Source organism: Homo sapiens, chromosome 1, assembly GCF_000001405.40.
Source record: "Homo sapiens chromosome 1, GRCh38.p14 Primary Assembly".
In the NCBI taxonomy this organism is placed as follows: Eukaryota; Metazoa; Chordata; class Mammalia; order Primates; family Hominidae; genus Homo; species Homo sapiens.
In genome coordinates this window covers 70640120-70665120 of record NC_000001.11, presented here as the reverse complement: position 1 = coordinate 70665120, position 25001 = coordinate 70640120, and the positions used below count along the sequence as shown (strand labels likewise).

At 34.4% G+C, this 25001-nt stretch overlaps 1 long non-coding RNA gene and 1 pseudogene across 2 annotated transcripts; both read left to right on the top strand.

The window, feature by feature from the left end:
- CASP3P1 (caspase 3 pseudogene 1) lies at positions 3745-4476 on the top strand (annotated as a pseudogene).
- LOC105378794 (uncharacterized) lies at positions 16227-24761 on the top strand. 2 transcript variants are annotated; one of them, XR_947500.2, is made up of 4 exons: positions 16227-16457; positions 20077-20193; positions 21622-21762; positions 24602-24761. It is a non-coding gene; the product is annotated as an uncharacterized LOC105378794 (long non-coding RNA). The 2 variants fall into 2 exon arrangements; XR_947501.2 differs by lacking the exon at positions 24602-24761 and adding an exon at positions 22884-22977.
- Positions 24762-25001: the final 240 nt, after the last annotated feature.

The window sequence follows — 25001 nt, the reverse complement described above, 5'->3', positions numbered from 1 at the left end:
CAACTACTACAGCCTATGAGAAACATGTAAGATAATGTATTTACAGCCATTGTTACAAGTTTATAATGTATTTTTCTATTTTGTTTTATATGTATGTTATATAACATTCAAAAAGAATTTTGTTCTTGACTGAGGAAATGATACAAAATGCAGAATTCACAATTTTGATAACTGAAAATTGCCAATTGTTTTGCAGTACTTTATTATATTGGGTGTCTTGTCTTTTTTTGGGCTTTTAGTTAGCTAATGAATGGCTACATTAGCACTTTTGGGTTTTAGTTGGGATTTTACATAGCTTACATTTTAATTCTTTGGTTCTGTGCTGTTTCTGTTAACCCACAGCACTATTTTAATAAATGTTATTATACCAACCTACTAAAAAAAAACATATGTTACTTGTCACTTCCAGGTTGTAAAGATACCAGATATACCCTATTTGTCAGATAAAGCTTAGAATTTTCAGTGAGAGCCTGGAACATAGCAGACACTCTAAATATTTATCAAATATGCTAAATAAATAAGGAAATAAATGTTTTCCTTTTATATATACACTGGAAGTGAGGGCCACAAAATGGAAAAATAAAGCACATATCTTTTTCTTTTTCTTTCTTTAAAGATCATTTTAGCCATTGATGCAAACTACACCTTCATATATATGACAGTCTCTTGTTCAAAGTCCACAGGTAACCATAGTAGCAGAGTGGTAGTGACTTCATGCAGGCATAAGGCATCCTACTGAGAAGTAAATAAGCTACCTAGTTAACAGTATTGATTAGCTATAATTACTTGACTATGATTTTTATATAGTCTCCCTTAAATTATCAAATAACCAAAGTGCACTGCAGTTCACTTGATCAATAACTGTAAAGTCAAAACAGATATTCTAAACTTTGCCTGCAACAAAATTATTTTATAAGTCAGCAATCAGCAAGAAGTTTAAAAGAGAAGTTGCCAGAGCTTCCTTCTTACTATGCTACCTAAGATAATTACCCTACTTTCTTTGTCTCTGGGCATTAATAAAAATATATTAATGTTTAATGATGATGGCAGTAGTAGCTAAGACTTATTGAGCACTAACCAATTTGTACTTTACCTGCGTTATCTCATTTAATCATCATCTTATAAGATTGTCTCATCTCCATCTCACAGATGGCGAAAAGTGAGCTTCAGACTTGCCAAGTAAGACAGGTAATAATAAGTGTCATTCCCAGAGATCCCAAGCTGAAGCAGTCTTATTCTTATGGAAACAAGCTTTCATAGTTTCATCAGTTGACCAATTTTCAAAGCTCTGTGAGCCATTTGTAGAGAAAACATCAGAACTGTAAGAGCTAAGTCCCTCTAGGTGAGTACCCTTGTGCAAGTAATTTGATGAAATAATAATATTAAACACAATTTTTTCATTTTTTTATTGTCTGGGATATAAGTTTCATGATGGCAGAAACCAGGTCTTTCATCTTCAGAGCTGGATTATCTTGCCAGGCACATAGTAGGTGCTCAATAGTTATTCAGTGAGAGTGTGGGTAGACAAATAAATCATGTACTGTCAAAAATTATACATTTCACAGAAATATGTTTTTTTATTTTAAATTGCTAAAGATGTACCTTGTAAACATTAAAAAAGATGTACCTTTTTGAATGCCGCAGAATAGTGAATATAGCTTAAAAATGGAAATTTGCTTTTATTTAAGTGAACATATAGTAACACTATGTAAAACATCATTTGTCATAAAGAAAATATTCTTATAAATAGTTCACATAATTTTAGATTTTGGAAAAATTTCAAAAAAAATAAATTAAAAAAAAATTTTTAATGACCAAACAGCCAAAACAATCTTGAGGGAAAAAAAACAAAACTAGAGGCCTCAAAAGTTCTGATTTTAAAATATATTTCAAAGCGATAGTAATCCAAACAGTAAGGTACTGGTAGAAAGACAAACATATAGTCCTGTAGAATGGAATAGAGCCCAAAAATAAGCCCTTTCATATATGGTCAAATAATCTTTGACAAACATGCCCAGGCTATACAATGGAGAAAGACTAGTCTCTTCAATAAACAGTATTGGGAAAATTAGATATCCACATGACAAAAAATTAGTTAAATTCTAATTTTAAACTATATACAAAAATTAATTCAAAATGGACCTAGCCATAAGACCTGAAACTATAGAACTCCTAGAAGAAAACATAGGAAAAAAGCTTCATGACATTAGTCTTGGCAATAATTTTTTGGAAATGACACCAAAAGTACAGGTAACAGAAGCAGAAATAGACAAATGAACTACATCAAAATTTAAAGTGTGTGGCAAAGGAAATAAACAGTAGAGTAAAAAGGTAACTTACAAAATAAGAGAAAATCTTTGCAAACCATATATCTAAGTGGTTAATAACCAGAATATACAACTCAACAACTGCTCAACAAATAACCTAATTAAGAGATGAGACTGGTGGCTCACTCTTGTAATTCCAATTACTAGGGAGGCTGAGGCAGGAGGATTGCTTGAGACCAGGAGTTTGAGACCAGCCCTGGTAACATAGTGAAACTGTCTCTAAAAAATAAAAAATTAGTCAGGTTCAGTGATCTGTGTCTGTAGTCCCAGTTACTCAAGAGGCTGAAGCAAGAGGATTGCTTGACCCCAGGAGTTCAAGGCTGCAGTAAGCTGTAATTGTGCCACTGTACTCCAGCCTAGGCAACAGAGAAAGACCCTTTTTTTTGGTGGCGGGGAGGCGGGGGAAGGAAATGGACAAAGGACTTGAATAGACATTTATCCAAAGAAGATATACAAATGCCCATCAAGCAAATGAAAGATACTAAACATCACTAATCATCAGGAAAATATAAATTAAAACCACAATAAGATATCACCTCACAATTGTCAGGATGGCTTCTATCAAAAAAAAGAAAGAAAATAAAACAGAAAATAACAAGGGTTGGTGAGGATGTAAAGAATTTGGAACCCTTGGGAACACTGTTGGTGAGAATGTAAAATGGTTCAGCTACTATAGAAAACATTATGGAGATTCCTTAAAATATTAAATATACAATCACCATATGATCCAGCAATCCCACTTCTGGAAATAGTCCCAAAAAAATTGAAAATATCAAAGAGATATTTGCACACCCATGTTCATTGCGGCATTATTCACAATAGCCAAGAGTTGGAAGCAACCTAAATATATATGACAGATGAATGGATAAATAAAATGTGATATACATAACATACAGTGGAATATTATTCAGCTTTAAAAAAAAGAAAGCCCTACCAAATGCTACAAAACCTTTAGGACATTACACTAACTGAAATAAGCCAATTATAAAAAGATAAATGATTCCACTTATATGAGATATCTAAAGTAGTCAACTCTTGGAAACGGAAAACAGAATGGTGGTTGCCAGAGGCAGAAAACATGGGGATAATGGAAGATGTTAACAGATACAGAGTTTCAGTTTTGCAAGATGAAAAAGTGCTATGGACCTGTTGCACAACAATGTACATATAGGTAATGCTATTGTACTATACACATAAAAATGGTTAACATGGTAAATTTTATGTTTTTGCCACATACAAAAACCCATATAATTGCCAACTTCTCATTATGTAAAACATGTATATTGTTTTTAAAACCAAACAATCAACCAACCCTCTACTTCATTAGCCTTTTATAAAACATAGTACATTTTACAACCAAATAACAGACACAACCTAATCTCAGAGTAAAAGATACCACTCTGGACTGGAGCTCATCTCTCCCGGCTGTGGGATGCTGAAGCCATGCAGATGCAGAGCAAAGCGGGCAGCTGCTGGCTGTGAGGAGACTGTGGAAGGTGTGAGGAGGATGTGCGTTAATAAAAATATCCACAGAGAACACTGAAAACTCAGTGGATTCAAAGTCCATTAAAAATTTGGAACCAAAGATCATACATGGAAGCAAATCAATGGGCTCTGGAATATCCTTGGACAACAGTTATAAAATGGATTGTCCCGAAATGAGTGTATGTATTATATAATAATTAATGATAAGAATAAGTGGAATCATAGAGGCACTGGAATGGCATCTTGGTCTGGTACAGATGTCAATGTGGCAAACCTCAGGGAAACACTCACAAACTTGAAATATGAAGTCAGGAATAAAAATGATCTTACATGTCAAGAAATTGTGGAATTGATGCACAGTGTTTCTTAAGAAGATCACAGCAAAAGGAGCAGTTTTGTTTGTGTGCTTTGGAGCCATGGTGAAGAAGGAATAATTTTTGGAACAAATGGACCTGTTGACCAGAAAAAGGTAACAAGTTTTTTCAGAGGGGATTGTTGTAGAAGTCTAACTGGAAAACCCAAGCTTTTCATTATTCAGGCCTGCCATGGTACAGAACTGGATTCTGGCATTGAGACTGACAGTGGTATTGATGATGACATGGTGTGTCATAAAATACCAGTGAAGGCCGAATTTTTGTATGCATATGAGACATCATTTGCTAATAAATTGAGACTGGAGAACCAAAGAAAGATAGGAGTGAGAGATGACCCTAAGATTCTTTACCAACTCAGTAGATTAAATGCCATTTACTATGATGGAGAAGACTATAGAAGGAGTATAATTGGAGGAAGGTGAGAAATAAGAAGTTCACTTTTGGTCACTTTAAATTTGAGATGCTTGTGCAACATCCAATCAGATATTAGAAGTAATCTATAGTTCAAAGAAAATTCTGAGCTGGAAAAATACTTTGGGTATAATCAGCAGATAGGAGTTATTAAAGTCTTGAAATGCAAGTGTGAGTATAGGTAGAGAAAAGAAGAGATTGAGGACTGAGTCCTGGGTACTTCAACATGTCAAAGTCTAGAAGAGAAAGATAATGCAGCAAAGGAAGCTTAGCAATAGTGGAATGGGGGACTTCATGGGGGATATCTTCAAAGTCAAGTAAAGACATGTTTTCAAGGAGAAAGTGAACAATTCTATCATGACCTCTTGAAATGAGGACTGAATATTGACATTGACTTTGGCAATGTCAATATTAGAGGTCTTTGGTAATCTGAATAAGAGTTGTCTGTGTGCACTGATGGTGAGTAAGGCTAAATTGGAGTGGTTCCCAGAGAGAACTAGAGGTAAAGAGAGGATCGCATCTATAAACAATTTTTTCAGGGAGCTTCTGTGAAAGGGAAAACCATGGGATCTCCGCTACAGGAAGATGTGGCATCTCAGGATAATGTTTTATTTAAGATTATAAATGTTATATCATGTTTTTATGTGACTGGAAAAGAATTAAACAACTAGGAATGATAGTGGATAATCATAGAAGCAAACACTGTGAGTAGGCAAGAAGGGATTGAATGCAGTGCCTGAGGTGATGGTTTGACCTAAAATAGGCACATTGCTCCTCCTAAACAGTAATAGGAAGGGAGGCAGTGACTATGAGCTCTGAAGGATGCAGGTCAGCGGATTTGGTCGGATAAGAAAATTCTCTTCTGATTGCTTCTATTTTCTCAATAAAATCAGAAGCAAAGTCACCTACTGAGAATCTAAGTTTGAGAAAGGCAAAGGTTTAAGGACAGGAAAACTGTCTTCTCTGGAAGTAAGAGAAAGGTTGACTAGAAAAATGTAGTAGAATACACGTTTCAATGTTTTATCCATGTCATTAACTTTACATAAGATAGTATGTATTTAGCAAAAAGGTAAAAAAACACCTGAGGATGAACTAAATTCCACCTGTTCCCGTTTCTGAGTAAGCTAGAATGTGAGGGCCATGAAGGAAGGGATTGTTGCCTACTTTGTAAAACAAAAAAAAAATCACTGTGCATAGAACATTGTAGACATAGTAGATGCTCAAGAAACATTTAGTGACTGAATCATGAATGAGGAGGCACTGTATCTCTAGTTTTTGTCATTGCTACAGATGGTCTTCACACTCACAAATATTTACCTTCTCACCTTATCCTAGCACATTTTTATAGCACTTTCCTTATTTATTTTTTAAATACATGGCCATTTTTAAGAAAGCATTTTGTGGTTTACATTCATCTATTTTTCATTCTTCAAAATGTTGTTTTGCAGTATCTAATGGACAGTTTAAAAGCTTCATGAACGAAAAGGCACCTTTTGCCAAAATTAAATGAATGCAAAAGAATGAAAAGTTTGGGTTGAGTTCAAAATTGTAAGCTCCCAAGGAAAATGAATGCACAAAACTTGTGGTTTTCATTTCCCATATTCTTATATTAAACATATGAAATTCAAGAGTTCTGACTGAATTAGAAAAGTTAAAATTTGAGGACAAATTTTCAACGATAAAAATGTTCTAAAGACTCTTAAACCCAAATCTTACTAAATAGCCTGACTAGCAATCGTATTTTTTATGTCAATGTGTTTATTTTTCTACAACAACAGTAAAAATTTTACTAAATCCCAGGCTATCTGTAATTATTTCACAGAAATGAATGGCTCTGTATGTTTGTTGAGAAGAGAACAGAAGATCTGCTACTCTTCAACCACTGGAGGATATTAATCTTACTCTTTCTCATAAAACTGTCTAACAAACATAAGAAAAATATAAAATTTTGCTAGCAAATACAGAAATGCAAGTAAAAGCAATAAGGCAGCATTTTCATCAATTAAAAAGGTAATGAACATCACTATGTATTTAGGTTTTTCATATTGTTATGATTTTCTTAGGATACATTTTTCAGTATGGAATAATTGAATGAAAATCTGGAGACCCAGGGCAGTGGCTCATGCCTGTAATCCCAGCACTTGGGGAGGCCGAAGCGGCAGATCACCTGAGGTCAGGAGTTCGAGACCAGCCTGGCCAACATGGCGAAACCCCATCTCTACTAAAAGTATGAAAATTAGCTAAGCGTGATGTCATGTGCCTGTAATCCCAGCTACTCGGGAGGCTGAGGCAGGAGAATTGCATGAACCCAGGAGGCAGAGGTTGCAGTGAGCGGAGATCGTGCCACTGCACTCCAGCCTGGGCAACAGAGTAAGACACAAAAAGAAAGAAAGAAGAATGAAAGAAAGAAGGAAAGAAAGAAAGAAGAAGGAAGGAAGGAAGGAAGGAAGGAGAAAGGAAGGAAGGAAATCTGGAAATACATAGATAAATTACTTCAGAAAATGTAACAAATTACTATACTGAAAGCACAAATTTTATAACATCTTGCCATCATAGGCTTCTTGTCATATAATTTTTTAAATGTAATATAGTAAAATTTACTCTTTTGGTGTACATTCTATGAGTATTGACAAATGTATAGTGTCATGTAACCACACCACAATCAATATATACAACAATCCGTCACCCCAAAAATGCCTCTTTGTATAGTCAACCCCTTCCCACCCAGCTCCTGGCAACAACTGATCTGTTCTCTGTACTTGTAGTTTGTCTTTTCCCACAATGTCATATAATTGGGCTTATACACTATTAAGCCTTTTGAGCTTGGCTTATTTCACTAACATAAGACATTTGAGATTCTTCCATATTGTTGCATGAATCAATCATTTTTTTCCTTTTATCACTGAGCAGTGTTCCATTTTGCGGATGTACCAAAGTTGAATATCCATTAATCAGTTGAGTTGTTCACAGTCTTTGGTGATTATAAATACAGTCACTGTAAATATTTCCATATGGGTTTTTGTGTGAACCTAAGATTTATTTCTCTTGAGTTAATTGGCACTTTTTAGAAAAATTATTTATCATATTTATTTTATTGCATTTAAGTATCCCTGCTACAAACTCAAGTTTTCCCAGGGGATATTAGTACTCCAGTTGGTGAGAAACATAAGCTTAGGTAAAGTCATATCCAAGATAATTGTACATAAAACTCTGAGCACTTAGTTTAAATTTGGAAAGTGCTAGAGGTACAAAGAAATCCTCAAATATAAAATTAATTGTGAAGCTTTAAATTATTGAGACTAGTTAATGTGCATTTTTTTGTTTTTTAATAAATGACTCCAACTTTCAAAACTTAACTTTGAATGCTTCTGTTGGTTATAGGGAAATATGTAAGAAGGCATAAAAAGTTTTTGAATGTAAAGTTTCCAAAATAACTTGAAATTTGAATGATCAGTGTTAATTTCCAATAATCTTAATTCTAAAAATAAGATAATAATAATTGTCCTTGTCTATAAGAAGTTTACAGATGCACTGGGGAAGTTTATCTTGTGCTTGGAGAGTGAAACAACAATCCAGGACAGAAGGTTAAAAATAACAAACGAGTACAATAGTTAATAAGTACTAATGGAGTTCAGAGATATAGGATACTTCATTTGAAGTTGCTGGCTTCTTCTGTAACTGGTACACTTTGGAGTGTGAAGACAATTTAGACAGGCTCTTTGTATTGATTCTTTTCTCTGTCCTTGTAAAGAAATATAATGAGTTACATTGTCACCCAAGATAATTAGAATACCCCTTTGGCACTCAAATAGCAAAATATACTTGTCTGCGTATCCAGAGTACATCAAGTGTCCTCTTCTAAAACTGTCTGGTAATATTACCCATATGATAGATTATATAATGCTGCTATTAAATTTGGAGAACATTAACAGAGGAGGATGAAGGACTGATGAGTCATTCCCAAGTAAAGCCATCTGATTCTATTTGTGCAACAGACTAATCAAAATCAGATGTAGCTAAGTCTCAATTCAGATATAATTTTACAGGTGGAAAATAATAGTGTATTTTCATAATACCAAAGAGAATACACTTTCGGCAAGTTTCCCAAAATATGTTTACCTAGCATATCATATGAGAAAAAGTATCAGAGTTGAAATAAAAATATTTTTGCACCCAAACGCACATAAACAAGCACATATGCTTCTTTTTGTTTCTCCCTCCCTTTCCCAGTTTTCTTCCTTCCTGCTACTTCGTCTCCACCCATCTTCCTTCCCATGGATACACACCACAAATGTGCACAAAGTCATCAAAAAAGCATATTTATTTTTAAGCTTAGAACATTTGGTTCCTAGACATCTAATCACCAAGAAGCATAAAACTATTTTATATTAATTACTGAATTTTAAATATGTGAAATATAGATAGATGATGATGATGATGAAGAAGATAGATTGACAGACAGATAGATGATAGATGATAGATAGATAGATAGATAGATAGATAGATAGATAGATAGATAGATGTCAGCCCTCTGTATCTGTGGTTGCACATCTGTGGATTCGACCAAATGTGGATCAAAAATACTTGAAAAAAATAAATGATTGTAATGGATGAAACAGTTATAATACAGTGCAGTGTGCAATGAAAGAGGGAGAGTAATGCCTAGTGTGTAATGAGAGCACAGAGAAGTATCACCCAGCCCAGACTGAATTAGTAAAATCTCAAAAGGAGACAGATAATCCATGAGTTGAGTCTTGAAAATGTAAGCAGAAGGAAGGCAATCAGATGACACAGCAGCTAAGAAAAACTGATTTTGTGGAACTACAAGTGGTTTTATAAGACTGCCATGTAAGCTGTATTCAGAGGTCTATAATAAACTGGAATTCACTTTTTTTCATTTACAAGATTCCCAACTTTCCAGTCCTAGCATATCTCTTCCCTCTCTACATATTAAGCATTTTTTTTAATTTATTATACTTTATGTTCTGGGATACATGTGCAGAACATGCAGGTTTGTTACACAGGTATACACATGCCAAAGTGGTTTGCTGCATCCATCAACCCATCATCTATATTAGGTATTTCTCCTAATGTTATCCCTCCCCTAGCCCCCCACTCCCCAACAGGCCCTGGTGTGTGATGTTCCCCTCCCCATGTCCATGTGTTCCCATTGTTCAACACCCACTTATGAGTGAGAACATGTGGTGTTTGGTTTTCTGTTCTTGTGTTAGTTTGCTGAGAATGATGGTTTCCAACTTCATCCATGTCCCTGCAAAGGAAATAAGCTCATCCTTTTTATGGCTGCATAGTATTCCATGGTGTATATGTGCCACATTTTCTTTATCCAGTCTATCATTGATGGGTATTTGGGTTGGTTCCAAGTCTTTGCTATTGTGAATAGTGCCACAATAAACATACATGTGCACGTGTCTTTATAGTAGAATGATGTATAATCCTTTGGGTATATATCCAGTAATGAGATTTCTGGGTCAAATGGTATTTCTGGTTCCAGATCCTTGAGGAATCGCCACACTGTCTTTCACAATGGTTGAACTAATTTACACTCCCACCAATAGAGTAAAAGTGTTCCTATTTCTCCACATCTTCTCCAGCATCTGTTGTTTCCTGACTTTTTAATGATCGCCATTCTAACTGATGTAAGATAGTATCTCATTGTGGTTTTGATTTGCATTTCTCTAATGACCAGTGACGATGAACTTTTTTTCATATGTTTGTTTGCTGCATAAATATCTTCTTTTGAGAAGTGTCTGTTCATATCCTTCACCCACTTTTTGATGGGTTTTTTTTTCTTGTAAATTTGTTTAAGTTCTTTGTAGATTCTGGATATTAGCCCTTTGTCAGATGGACAGATTGCAAAAATGTTCTCCCATTCTGTAGGTTGCCTGTTCACTCTGATGATAGTTTCTTTTGCTGTGCAGAAGCTCTTTAGTTTAATTATATCCCAGTTGTCAATTTTGGCTTTTGTTGCCATTGCTTTTGGTGTTTTAGACATGAAGTCTTTGCCCATGCCTATGTCCTGAATGGTATTGCCTAGGTTTTCTTCTAGGGTTTTTATGGTTTTAGGTTTTACATTTAAGTCTTTAATCCATCTTGAATTAATTTTTGTATAAGGTGTAAGGAAGGGGTCCATTTTTAAATGAACATGTAGTTAATTTATTTCCTCTGGAGGATTAAATCTGCACACATACCATCTCTGAAGATGCTGGTCATATGTGTGGTGAGTCAGGGAGTCGTCCCTCAACAGGCTCTCTGTGGCAGAGCTTACCACTGCTCACCAATACCCCTTCTTTCCTCTTCTTCTTGGGCACACAGCTAAGTAGCATTCTTTGGCCTCTTTGCTGGTAGGTTGGCACCATGTAACTAAGTTCTGGGAAAACTGAATGTGAATAAAAGTGATCTATGCTGCTTCCAAATCTGACCCATAAAAATATTCCACAGTCAAAGCTCCACTCTCACTTTTCCCATTCTATACTGATCTGAGATATTGAAGATGGCAGTACCATGAGACGGAGGTGACCTGTGAAAATAGACTCCTTCCAGTGATCCACACTGAACTGTGAATGAGCACAAAATAAGTCTTTTTTTTTTTTTTTTTTTTTTTGAGACAGAGTCTCGCTCTGTTGCCCAGGCTGGAGTGCAGCGGCGCAATCTCGGCTCACTGCAACCTCCGCCTCCCGGGTTCAAGCAATTCTCCCGCCTCAGCCTCCCGAGTAGCTGGCACTACAGGCGCATGCCACCATGCCCGGCTAATTTTTTGTATTTTTTTAGTAGAGACAGGGTTTCACCGTGTTAGCCAGGATGGTCTCTATCTCCCGACCTCGTGATCCGCCCACCTGGGCCTCCCAAAGTGCTGGGATTACAGGCATGAGACACTGCGCCAGGCCACAAAATAGGTCTTTAATGTGTTAAGTCACTGAGGTTTTGGGATTGTGTGGTTAGATAAATTAACCCTAGCTCAGAGTATTTATTGCATCCTCTAAACTCATACTCTTTGGTATATGTATTTTTTACTTGATTTTTTTGTCCCGACATACTGGATATTACAGTGTATCAGCATACCGTGCAACATGACTAATTTTTGCCACCTTCTTCATAGAAGTCTCAAAGCCCACCGCATGCATAACTCTATACCAACTGATTTGAACTGAATGTCTGACCTGCTATACACTTGCTCTGGACAAGAAAATCTCTTAGTTTCAAGCTGTTTTAAGAGTCTTTCAGAAAGAAAAAAAAATCCTGAAACTCTATTTACTATTTATGCCAAATACTAGGGATCTCTTCTCAAATATTGTTTACTATTTTGCTTATAGAAATATTTTTCTCATCTTTCTCTTCCTCTTCATTTCTCTGTAACAGTCTTATGCTGTGACTTCTTTCTATAAGAAGCAACTTTTTACTAGGAATTTTAACATAATAAGTGAATTAAGAATTCATTATTCTATGGTTGAATACAGGTTAATTATTTTCAAGAAGAAAACAGCATCTTAAACTTTTATATTTAAGTTATTTTCATAAGAAAACTTTTAATAATAAAATGATCAATGCTTATTTTAAAACATGAAAAAAATACAAAGACATTTAAAGAAAAAATAATCTCTTTCTTATTCTCCCTTATTCCCACCAGGCAACAATCAAATTGAACATATTACTTTTTACCTTCAAAATTCACTTCATTCAATTTTTTTTTTTACAAAAGTTACCTAAATTTGCTGAAACAAGTAAACAATGCAAAAATATATAAAGATAATAATCTTTTCTTTATTCTCCTTCCAATCTCACCTCCTGAGATTAGCCATGTTAATAGTGTGGTGTATTTCATCACAAAATTCTCCATGCTCAAACAGCACAATACTTTTTTTATTTTTTATATAACATAGTTCATACTTGATCTCTAACTTGCTTTTGTCCCTTAACTATGTATCCTGGATATCCATCAAAGATAGCAAATATAGATCTAATTCACTGTTTTCAATGGTGATCTAATATTCCATAATATGAGTAAAACAGAAGTATTCAACTACCTGGTTATTGATAGATTTTTTTACTTTTTTTGCAGTTTCCTGTGTATGTGTATGTGGGGTGTGTATGTGTGCGTGTAACAGATAGTAGTGGGAAAGGAGTTCACCACTACAAACAATACTTTCATAAACACACTTGCTCATAGGAATTACATTCAAAATATTTAATAGTTGGCATGGCAAATAAATTGAATAATCAGAACTGATATACAGTGAATCAGCTGGTACACCATATACCTATGCATAATTAAATTATCAGCTCTACGTTTTCATTCTTTCTTTTATATTGGTGCTTGCATTTTCATAGTATATATGCCCCCTAAACCATATTGTCCAGGTTCCAGTTTTCCCCTATATTGTGTATATTTGTGTATGAGGTGAGTATATTCTGCCTGTAGGATGTAAATTGTGGTGGCTGTAGAAAAGACTGTGGCAAACGTTCCCTAATCTGAAACCTCTTTACAATTTATGCATTTCTATAACAATTTTTGAATTGGCTTTTGTGTAAATGCAGAATCTGTCTTTCAGGGTTATTTTCCAAAATTTAGTTTTTGTTCAGGATCCAATTTTTAGTAAACAATTTAAAAATTCACGATATCTTGCAATATTCTTTAGAAATTTTCTCCAACTATTTTAGTCTCCCTTTTAGTTTTTCCTTTTCCATAGTGTTCCTGAGAAATAAAATGCCCTTAGTTTGCCTCTAATTCTTCTCTTTTGTCTTCCTAGAACAGTCCATAATTGTATACCATATATCAGAAGAGGAAACATAGCATATCTCATAAACTGTTAGGCTTTGATTTGTTACAAAGATGTCAGTTACATATCTCTGCATAAATTGAATTTATATTTTCCTCATCCTTCAGTTCTCTAAGTTAACCAAAAAATAGCTCTGAATTATTTTCTTTTAAAAAATGAATAAATGCCCTAAGAGATAGAAATGAAGAAAAATATTTATGGAGGGCACATAAAAAAGACAATAGACATCAGAAGTCAAACACCCTCATTTTACAGGTAAGGAAACTGGGGTTTAAGAAATTTCAACAACTTATGTAAGGTAAAAAGCTAGTGGAGAAAATGTAATGTACGGAATTTTTGCACATAAGGCTGCAATGAAATGCTTGGTTTGCCAGTTCTTCTTTAATAATAAATACAAGAGAAATTTTCACATCTAAACTTGGAGTGTGCCAAATAGTTTCTTCCTAATCTCATGTTTCAAAGTCCAGTTAATCTATGTTTTGGAGAGGGTGGGGAAAATATGATTAAATTTTTCCCATATATACAAGTCTTATTGCATTCTTTACCATCATCTCTGTTTAAATCTGTTAATATATTACTAACAACCCTAAAATAGAAATAAATATAGTCACTCATTGGAGAGAGACAAAAAGCTGCTTTTTCTCTATGTAGTCTATATAAATTCAGCTTTCCTAAATTAGTTAAAACAGACATTTTACCCCAGAATTACTTAAAATTCTTGCTGATTGAAGCCCAAATTCTTTTTTATGTCCTCTATCTTGTTTTCAACCATCACCTGAATCCTTGAAGAATTGAGTGAAATTTTTTCTTCTTCGCAAAGTTTATATCAACTGCAGTTCTGATACTGATGTGACATGCCAAGTAATGGGAAGGACTTGGCAAAAGTTGTTTTAGTAGAAAGTTGACTTATTAGAACGTAAAGTTGTTTTACTAGGAAGTTGTTTTTATCCAGCACAATGAACTACCCTAATGTACGGAACCACCAAGCCCCTCACATGTTAAATTACTATATGCATTAGACCTGCCATCCCATGCCTTTTAAATATGGCCATATATAAATATATTTGCTTATTTTCATGGTGGTTAATGAAGATATGTTTTCATCAGAAATAGATTTTTAAAGATTCAAAATGTGCATATTGCAATTTAAATGGCTTCAATGTAAATAGAACTGACATTATACTTTACACTGCAGTGTTAGATGTTTGTTTAGCAGTTTCTCTCCCAGGAAGATAGGAATGGTGCTACTTCTGTTCATGTTGACAAGCTCTAAGAGTCACTATTACTGGAGTAACTAACTAATAACTGGTTTTATCTTTCCCATGCATCAAGGACAAGTGAATAACCTTCACTAATAATAGCAGCTTATAAACACTGAGTTGCTGTAAACTTGACGTTAAAGTTTGCACTCCTATTATGCCCTAATATTTGATGAAAAATCATAGTGTTGATAACCTTAATGTGTATAATCTACCTCCTTCCAAGAAGCACTGCCAATATACTGCCTAATTAGCAATATTGTCGCCTTTTCTTAGGAAACAGAAAATCCATGCAATACCTACTTCCATTCATCCATGATAAGGCCATTTAACACCTTGCTGCCGGGGGAGGTTGAAATATCCTGCCTGCCATCTGGCTATAACAAAAAATCCTTCCAAGTTATCAAGCATTTGATCAACTAGAAAACACTATCAGACCTTGGGTACATTACAGGGAACCATCAATTGCACAGTAACAAATTAAAGTTAGCAGGGCAGAGACCAGAATTGAGGAATATTTAGGTGCAATGGCAGCCTCTGTTGGCTTGGAACTGGGCCAGACGGGAAATCAATCCTCCAAGAACCATTTTCCACATGTAAAAAGCACAAATGACCATATCCTATTAACAGCAAGAAAGGATATTTCTGAAGGTCATTTGTCATCGCTACTCTTAGTCTTTCGACAACACAAGCACTGCCTATCAAACTTGGCTTTTCCTGAGTCTGAAGAATGTTTGCGGCTTTACTTGTGTGTTTTCAGAAAGACATTTATCCTGCCTCGGGACCAAGTAATTAAAAATATTTACTGCTTTACACCTGACAATGTTGTTATTTTAAGGAAGAGATGTGATCAATAAAAAGCAGAATAGGAGTTTTGTTCAAGAAAGTTTTTCCACACCACAATTTATACATAATTGTAAATTAATGATTGGAATGAGGCAATGGTTTGTTAATCTCTAAATCCCAGCCATCGCTCACAGAGGGTCACAGCTGTGAAATCCCCAGGCAATAATAGTATGAAACGAGGATCAATCTTTAATCCATTTGTGCAGTAGGCACAATAATCACCTTTCCTTTCTGAATCCAGTTGGCTTCTGCACTTATCAGAGCACCTGTTGCTGCCCCGTGGTGGCACAGGGGTCACCACAGCAGAGCCCCTCTCCTTCCCCTCAAAAATACTCACCTGATCTGTGTCTTGGCAAGTCCCTGCTCTCTTCCTTCCGAAGTTAAAACAACAGAGGATTTTTAAGGCTTAAAAATGATTTATATATGAAACTCTTTTTCAAGTCAATAACAGAAACAACGAAGATTTACAGAAAGTGATTATTGTAAGTTACAGTGTCTTGTATTTACAGATTATATTTATATTTGTTTAGTTTGATTTTTGTGATGATTAATATATATCATTATTATAGCTACATTGTTATTTTTATATAAATGTTACATTAATTTTATATATAGTCATGATAGAAGCTGCCATTTCTTGAGCACTTACTAGCTGCTAGGCATATCTACTGCATGATTTAGCCATAATAATTCCATGAGGTTATTTTACAGATGAAGGTACAAGCTAAAGAGCATGCTTCTGGATCTGGATCCTGGGAAACAAGGATACATGACACACAGAAAGATTAAAGGAAAAAGAGAAGAGAATGTAAAGACAAAAGAGGGATACAAGATGAAGAGTTTTCTCTCTACAGGATCTGAATAACTTTCTTCAGTAGGGTGTTTCTTTATCTACTTAACCTTCAGAGAAATCAAGTCCAAGATCACACAATAAGTGGCAAAATCCAAAGTTGAACCCAGGTTTGTTTAAGTGCAAAGCTCCTCAATTGTTATAATGGACATTATTTTTAAAATTTGGCTAGAGGACCCAAGAAACTCCAATACTGTCCTCAACCAGTCAACTCATCTTCCATGATGTTTCAGTCAGGGTTCTCTTAGAGGGACAGAACTAATAGGATATATATATATATCCTATATTATTATATAATTATATTATATAAATAAGTAATTATATAATTATATTAGCTAAGTAACTATATAATTATATAAATAATTATATAATTATAAAGATTATATATTATAATTATAATTAACTATTATAAATAATTGTATAATATATATTTATTTATAATATGTAATATTTAATTATATATAATTATATAATTAAATTATATAATATATAATATTTAATTATATATAATTTATAAGTATATAATATATAATTAAATATTATATGTAATATATAATTATATAGATATATAATATATTATTATTACATAATATATTATTCTCTTAGGCTATATATTATATATCTATATATCTCTAGCTATCTAGCTATATAGTTATCTATATCTATATATCTAGCTATATAGTTATCTATATATGTCTAGCTATATAGATATCCATATATATATAAATATAGATATATATTTCTATAAATGCTGACCACTGGTGGGGAGAAGGAAAGCTATATAGATATATCTATATATAGATATAGCTAGCTATCTATATATATCTATATATCTATATATATCTATATATCTATATATATCTATATATCTGTATATATCTATATATCTGTATATATCTATAGAAATATCTAGCTGTCTATATATCTATATCTATATATCTAGCTATCTATATAGATATCTATATCTATATATCTAGCTATCTATATAGATATCTATATCTATATATCTAGCTATCTATATAGATATCTATATCTATATATCTAGCAATCTATATAGATATCTATATCTATATATCTAGCAATCTATATAGATATCTATATCTATATATCTAGCAATCTATATAGATATCTATATCTATATATCTAGCAATCTATATAGATATCTATATCTATATATCTAGCAATCTATATAGATATCTATATCTATATATCTAGCAATCTATATAGATATCTATATCTATATATCTAGCAATCTATATAGATATCTATATCTATATATCTAGCAATCTATATAGATATCTATATCTATATATCTAGCTATCTATATAGATATCTATATCTATATATCTAGCTATCTATATAGATATCTATATCTATATATCTAGCTATCTATATAGATATCTATATCTATATATCTAGCTATCTATATAGATATCTATATCTATATATCTAGCTATCTATATAGATATCTATATCTATATATCTAGCTATCTATATAGATATCTATATCTATATATCTAGCTATCTATATAGATATCTATATCTATATCTAGCTATCTATATAGATATCTATATCGATATCTATATCTATATCTAGCTATCTATATAGATATCTATATCTATATCTATATCTAGCTATCTATATAGATATCTATATCTATATATCCAGCTATCTGTATAGATATCTATATCTATATATCCAGCTATCTGTATAGATATCTATATCTATATATCCAGCTATCTGTATAGATATCTATATCTATATATCCAGCTATCTGTATAGATATCTATATCTATATATCCAGCTATCTGTATAGATATCTATATCTATATATCCAGCTATCTGTATAGATATCTATATCTATATATCCAGCTATCTGTATAGATATCTATATCTATATATCCAGCTATCTGTATAGATATCTATATCTATATATCCAGCTATCTGTATAGATATCTATATCTATATATCCAGCTATCTGTATAGATATCTATATCTATATATCCAGCTATCTGTATAGATATCTATATCTATATACCAGCTATCTGTATAGATATCTATATCTATATATCCAGCTATCTGTATAGATATCTATATCTATATATCCAGCTATCTGTATAGATATCTATATCTATATATCCAGCTATCTATCTATATCTATATATCTAGCTATCTATCTCTATATATATATATATATCTAGCTACCTAGCTAGGTGTATATATATAGATATATATCATATATATATATATAGCATAAGATAATATAGGATATATATAGGATTTATTAAGTATTATATTACACAATCAAAGGTGCTACAATAGGCTGTCTGAAAGCTGAGGAGCAAGGAGAGCCAGTCCACGTTCCAAAACTGGAGAACTTGGGGTTGGATGTTCGAGGGCAGGAAACATGTAGCACAGGAGAAAGATGCAGGCTGGGAGGCAAGGCCCGTCTCTCCCTTTCACGTTTTTCTGCCTGCTTTATATTCGCTGGGAGCTGATTAGATTGTGCCCACCAGATTAAGGATGGATCTGCCTTCCCCAACCCACTAACTCAAATGTTAGTCTCTTTTGGCAACACCTTCACAGACACACCCAGGATCAATAGTTTGTATCCTTCAATTCAATCAAGTTGACACTCAGTATTAACCACCACACATGAGGTCCCTGAGACACTTATACATAGACAAAAATGGCTGGCAAAGAACTGTTGAATGCAAGCTGAAATTTTGTACCTTGGTGAGCTAGACTGGACAACATGGAGAATTTTGTGTTTAGGCTGCAGGTAGCCTAGAGCAAGACACAAAAGGCTGATGAGCATCCTTCTGGGTCCTCAGGAAAAGGGAAACATGAGGTGCAGGGATAGCAAAAGAGGAAGACATGGCAAAGAAATGAGCTACCTCAGGAGGAAGGGCTATCCTATACATCATGAATACAAATTTTAGGCAACTTTTAAAACAGTTTTTGTCTACTTCCTCTCCGGCCCCTCTTTTCTTCCACTTGGCACTCCTTTTCTTGAGCCTTCATGGTGCCCATCTGCTGTTTCTAATCTTTACTATACACCTGATCCAAACTTTAATTCTCACACTTCCTCTCTTCTGAGGCTTTATCTTCCAAACTACCCCACTAATTAGTACTGAAGGCTTTAGTTTAGCCTGCTGGAGGAAAGACTCAGAAAAGCTGTGTAGCATGGCGATTGAAAGCAAGTCCTCTAAGCTTAAATTCAGTTCTATAAGTTACCACCTGAACTTAGGCAAGATCCCAAACATCTGTGGGCCTCAGATTTCATATCTGTAAAATGAGGATGATAATTGCAGCATTAATCTCATGTACTTGTTGCAAGGATTAAATGAGTTCATATATGTAATGGGCTTTTAATAGTAGTTGGCAAGATTGAAACAATTGATATCTTCTCTTAACACCAGGGTTATCCAAATTTATTTTAAAAGAGGATGAATATTAACCCCAGTTAATCATAAATAGTTAATTTTTGCTGTAATAAATTAAGTGAAAAATTCAGGTTCTATGCAGATGAAGCATTTGTTACATAAGTGATGGTGGGAGAAGGATGTAGAGGCAGATATTTTAAGCATAAGATAATATATGACACACAATGTGTATAAAGTAAATATTTAATCTGTGAAATATAAAAGCACTTGTAAATATTTGTGCATTTTAGAGATTCTATCCTATTTTTACTTCTAATCTCATTTTCTCTAAAAATCTCCCAGTGTTTTTCCCCCAACCCCAGCAGCTTCCATTTGAAGAGGGAAATCATTTGAGAGACTATGATACACGATGAAGAGAAGCAGGGAATCTGCAGAGGCTGTTTATACGCTCTATTGAATGTAAGTGGTCCCCAAGAGAAAGGAGGTCAGGGGCTTTAAGCTACTTGATAATATCAGCCTTTTTGTTCAGTGATAAGTAAAACAGCTTCTATATCAGTAAAGCAAACCAGAATAAGCGTTTCTATAAATGCTGACCACTGGTGGGGAGAAGGAAAGGAGAGGGCCATACACAGAGAGGCGGGTGGCTGGGAGCTGCATGTCTAGAATAGAGATCATATAGCCAGCCCAAAATGACATTTTATAGCAGGACAATGAAGACCATTCAGGGACTTCATAATCTGTAGACAAGAAAAAACTTCAGCAGTGATTCCAACTTGCCACAGTTTACTTAAATTCGGTTTAGTCATGTCTTTTCATTGTAAATAATTTCTTTAGAATTCCCTGTGATATTTCCTGGGATGCAATAAAATGAATCTTAGAGACATGATCTCAACCTAGGTTATAATCATCACTTCCCTTGGCCTCAAGAAACACAAATGAGTTATTTCCTTCCACAATTACATCCACTCTTGACTCTACCATCCTGTGTAAAGATGCTGTGAGTGCCTCCATTTTCGCATATTTTTTAAATTAATAAACATTTCTAAGAGCAGTTTTAGATTCACAGCAAAATTGAACAATTGATAGGAAAGTATAAAGTTCTCATATGCTTCCCATTTCTGCATAATTTTTGTTTAATTTGATTCATTAATTAAGTAAATCAATTTGAGCCATTATTTCTACACTAAAGATTCTAGGCCTCTCACTTAAATATTTTCTTTATTTTGCTGAAAATAAATCCTATTATAAAATTAGTCTCAATGACTTCAGGACAATTAAGTGCATAATTTTCTACTAAAATCTAGAAAAAAATAATGAATTTAATGGAAACTGCAAGATAGGCCTTACTATATAAATTCATATTTTTTTCAACCTCAATCTAGCTGTAATTAAAACATCTACCCTCATTATAGTAGCAACATTAGTTTCTATCCTTGGATCTGCATATCAATCAGTAAGTGATGAATGATGATGGTGATGATGATGATTATGGTGGTATTTACAATAGCATCATAATTTCTTTAAAAGGAAGAGGAACACGAAGTATAATAAAATGTCATCTGTTAATACTATCAAATCTAGCAAACAGTATCAAGTCTAGAGATCTGTCACTAGTTAGATAAATTAAAGAGCCAAATTCAAAAAATCAGACGGCCAAAGTCTATTTTGCATTATACCGATTTTGAATTATACTGTTGTCCACCTATATTGATCAGATTAACCATACCCATGACAAATTGTCATTTGACTTGGTGCTATGTACACATAGTCTATGAGTCAGGAGACATAGCTTTGGTGAAACTAAAGTTATTTTTTAGTGAAAGCTGACCTGGTCAGCATCACTAGGGACATGACCAGTAAACCAAAAGGTCCCCATTATAATTTCAGAGAGGTCACCCTCATCATTGCTGATTCAAGACATGGAAGCTGAAGCTGTAATCAGATTGGGGCTCAGAAGAATCCCACAGTTCCAGAAGTCATTTTAAGAACACTTAGAAAACCCTTGGAATTCCTCTTCAGGGAGTTTTTGTAAGTATGGCCTATAATATGTTCTCTTGGGAAAGAAATGGGATTAATTGTAAAAATTGTTTTTAAAGCATGGTTCAGTAAGCAAGCCTTTTGTGGTAATAAAGACCAACCCAGTGAGAACAAGAAGAGGTTATTTATTCAGGGCTTGCTATAGCAAGGGAATCAAAAACTATCACTTTTGTTTTGGCAAAGACTCAAAGGCAAGCAAGCAGAGGAGCGGGAAAGCTTTATAGTGGAAGAAATCGAAAACCTTAGGTATGCCAAGGCTGCTGGTGGGGAAGCTGAAGGTAGGCTAAGTAGAAACAGGCATCCTATATGATTGGCCAGGGTTGAATACTTGGGTTTCTCTGGTTGGTCCTAAATTGAAAGTAGGGACACAAATTTTAAAAGCTGTCAGTTAATTATCAGGTCCTGGCCAATTTAGGCCAATTATTACAAAAGTTATTGTTTAGGTTCCTGAATTGTTACTAGAGATAGCAATCTGGCTTCCTACAAGGCTGGTTCATTGCAGGCTGGCTTCCAGGACTGTTTATTGTAGAGAAGGGGGTTGGTTTCTTGGGTAGATGCTACAGGTTGTGGGTAAGAGCTCTATTTTTATAAATGGCCTGGCCATTTTCTGTTTGTGGATTCACTCTCTTACTCTGAATATATTTTCCCAAAAGGAGTATATCTATACATATTGCAAAAAAAAGTAAAGGAAGATATGGGAACACACAATACTACAAAATTTCATTAGATTTCATGTCCACAATTATACTCGCTCACCATTTTAATGTTTCTATTAGAGTAAGAAAGGTGCATGGGAAGAAATCTGTTCCCTTGGGTCTCAGATGAGGAAAAGAAATTGCAATTATATTTATGTTAGTTTTGTGACTGCTAAACTGCAGCAACAGAGATCCAAAAATATAGTAACACAAAAACAAGTAGGAATGTTTCTTTCTTAGAATAATTCACAGATTGGTAGATGATCCAAGATACAATATTGTCATCATTATCAATCTTTCTATTTATCTATCTAAGATGGGACTTCTGCTTTCAAAGCCATTCGTGACTCAGGTTCTTTTATTTTCAGGTTCAGGTTCATTCTTTCTTTTTGTTCATTCCGTTTATTGTTGTTATAGGTTCTTGTAGGTTATTTCCCTCACCTGCATGGACATGGCTGGCTCCCCACCATCCCTCTCTGTGTTTCAGCCCATGGAAATGGAGAAAGAGAAGTAGAAGAAAAGTGCCTTCTTTAAGAATATGATGTGGAAGTTCCACTCTCACATCCTATTGGCCACACATGGTCACATGGCCACATGTAGATAAAGGAGAGCTTGAGAAATAGTGTTTAGCTCCACTGCAAACTTGGCTGGGGAGAATCCATAACTAAAGGAAAGAGGGAAGAAACAAAGACAAGGAAAATTAGTACTCACTGCCCACAACAGAGATAATGGCTATGCATTTCAGCTACCAAGAAAGTTTTGGAAAAAATACAACACTCCCCAGATCCCCTTTGAAGCATTGTTCAGTCAAGCATGATAATGGGTTGCAGGCCAATTCATATCTATCTGCCCCTTCATATTGGATATTCTAAAATTTCTCAGGTATTAGCTAGAGAAAGCTTACTACAGAGGGCTGAGAAGTAGTGCAGATGATATCTAAATACTGTTTAATGTTTTATTGGACATGAAAAAGACAGTAGAACAATCTTTACTTGTCCCTTGGTGTCCTGAAAATTATTTCAAGTCAAGCAAAAAAAAAAAGAGAGGCATGCCAGATTTTGACACAGTCCAAAATTATACCTTTCTCAAGAATTTTAACTTCTTCTTTTCTCCTTGATATCTAAAAATCTAATAAAAACCATGATAATCTGTCTAATAAATTGTGAAATGTTTTGGAAAACACAAATATAAAAGATACAAAACACTACTGATAGTTATGTCAAATAATTTAGATGGTTTCAATCTGACTGATAGATTATTGGATTCTGACTTAAACATCAGACCTCTGGAATCAGGGCTATCCCAAGATGACAATTATTTCACCTGTACAGTCAGTTTACATTGGCCTATGGCTCAAGCGTAGCCACCTTCACATCTATCATCCTAGAACAGTTTTCACCTTTTTTTAGGTGACATGTATAATATCTCATCTTAGTATGCATCCAAACATGGGTAAAAGATCCAAGTGCCAATGTGTGGAGTAAAATCCTGATCCTTCAATGCTTTAGGAAATAATCTATTATGAGGGGAATGCTATAAGAGGCTCTGTCTCTGAGCCTCACATGTATAAGAGGCCTCAAGTTTAAACTTTTGGAATTATCTCCAAATGAATGTATACATGTGGCTATTTGATTTGTGTATGTGTTTTAGACATGGTAACTTTTTCACATAAACCGCAATTTTTATAACTTTGACTTTGTGTGTTTTTCAACTCCCTGGGGGCCACTGCTGTTGATGAGTGGAAGATTGCAGGATCCCATAAGCATGAAGGGGGGCCCCCACCCCAAGACAAAGAGTGAAATTTGATATGTCAAATTGATTTACCCTATCTCTCCTAAAATGTTCTATCTAAACCACTGACAAAAATTATAGGTAGCAGTAGTATTGTGTCTAGAGAAAGGAAAAGATATTGTAATGCTGTACTAGAAGGAGGGGTTTATTTGAAATTTTAAAAATGATTTTTACGTGTACACCTTTGAGACAGGTTGAAAACATCATACTGCCATTATCCTATGTATTTCTTGCAAAATACACTGATTCTTGTCTTCTTTCTAATTACCCTGGAAAACTAAAGGGCCATAAAATCACATACAATTTTCTTGATTTAACTCTTCCTCTTCTATCTACTCTCTCAGAGACCTGCCAAGCCTGCTTTGGAAACCAAAACGTCCTTCTTGCATCTTTTTATCTCAGGAAAAAGGTACTTCCTATGCCAATTCAAGACCATGGACCTGAATCTTAGGGTAATCATCCCTTCAAGAAAAGTGAAGTGGGCCAGACGAGGTGGCTCACACCTGTAATCCCAGCACTATGGGAAGCCGTTCACTTGAGGTCAGGAGTTCAAGACCAGCCTGGCCAACACGGTGAAACCCCATCTCTACTAAAAATACAAAAAGTAGCCAAATGTGATGGTGCATGCCTGTAATCCCAACTACTCAGGCTGAAGAAGAAGAATCGCTTAAACCCAGGAGGTGAAGGTTGCAGTGAGCCAAGATGACACCACTGCACTCCAGCCTGGGTGACAGAGCAAGACTC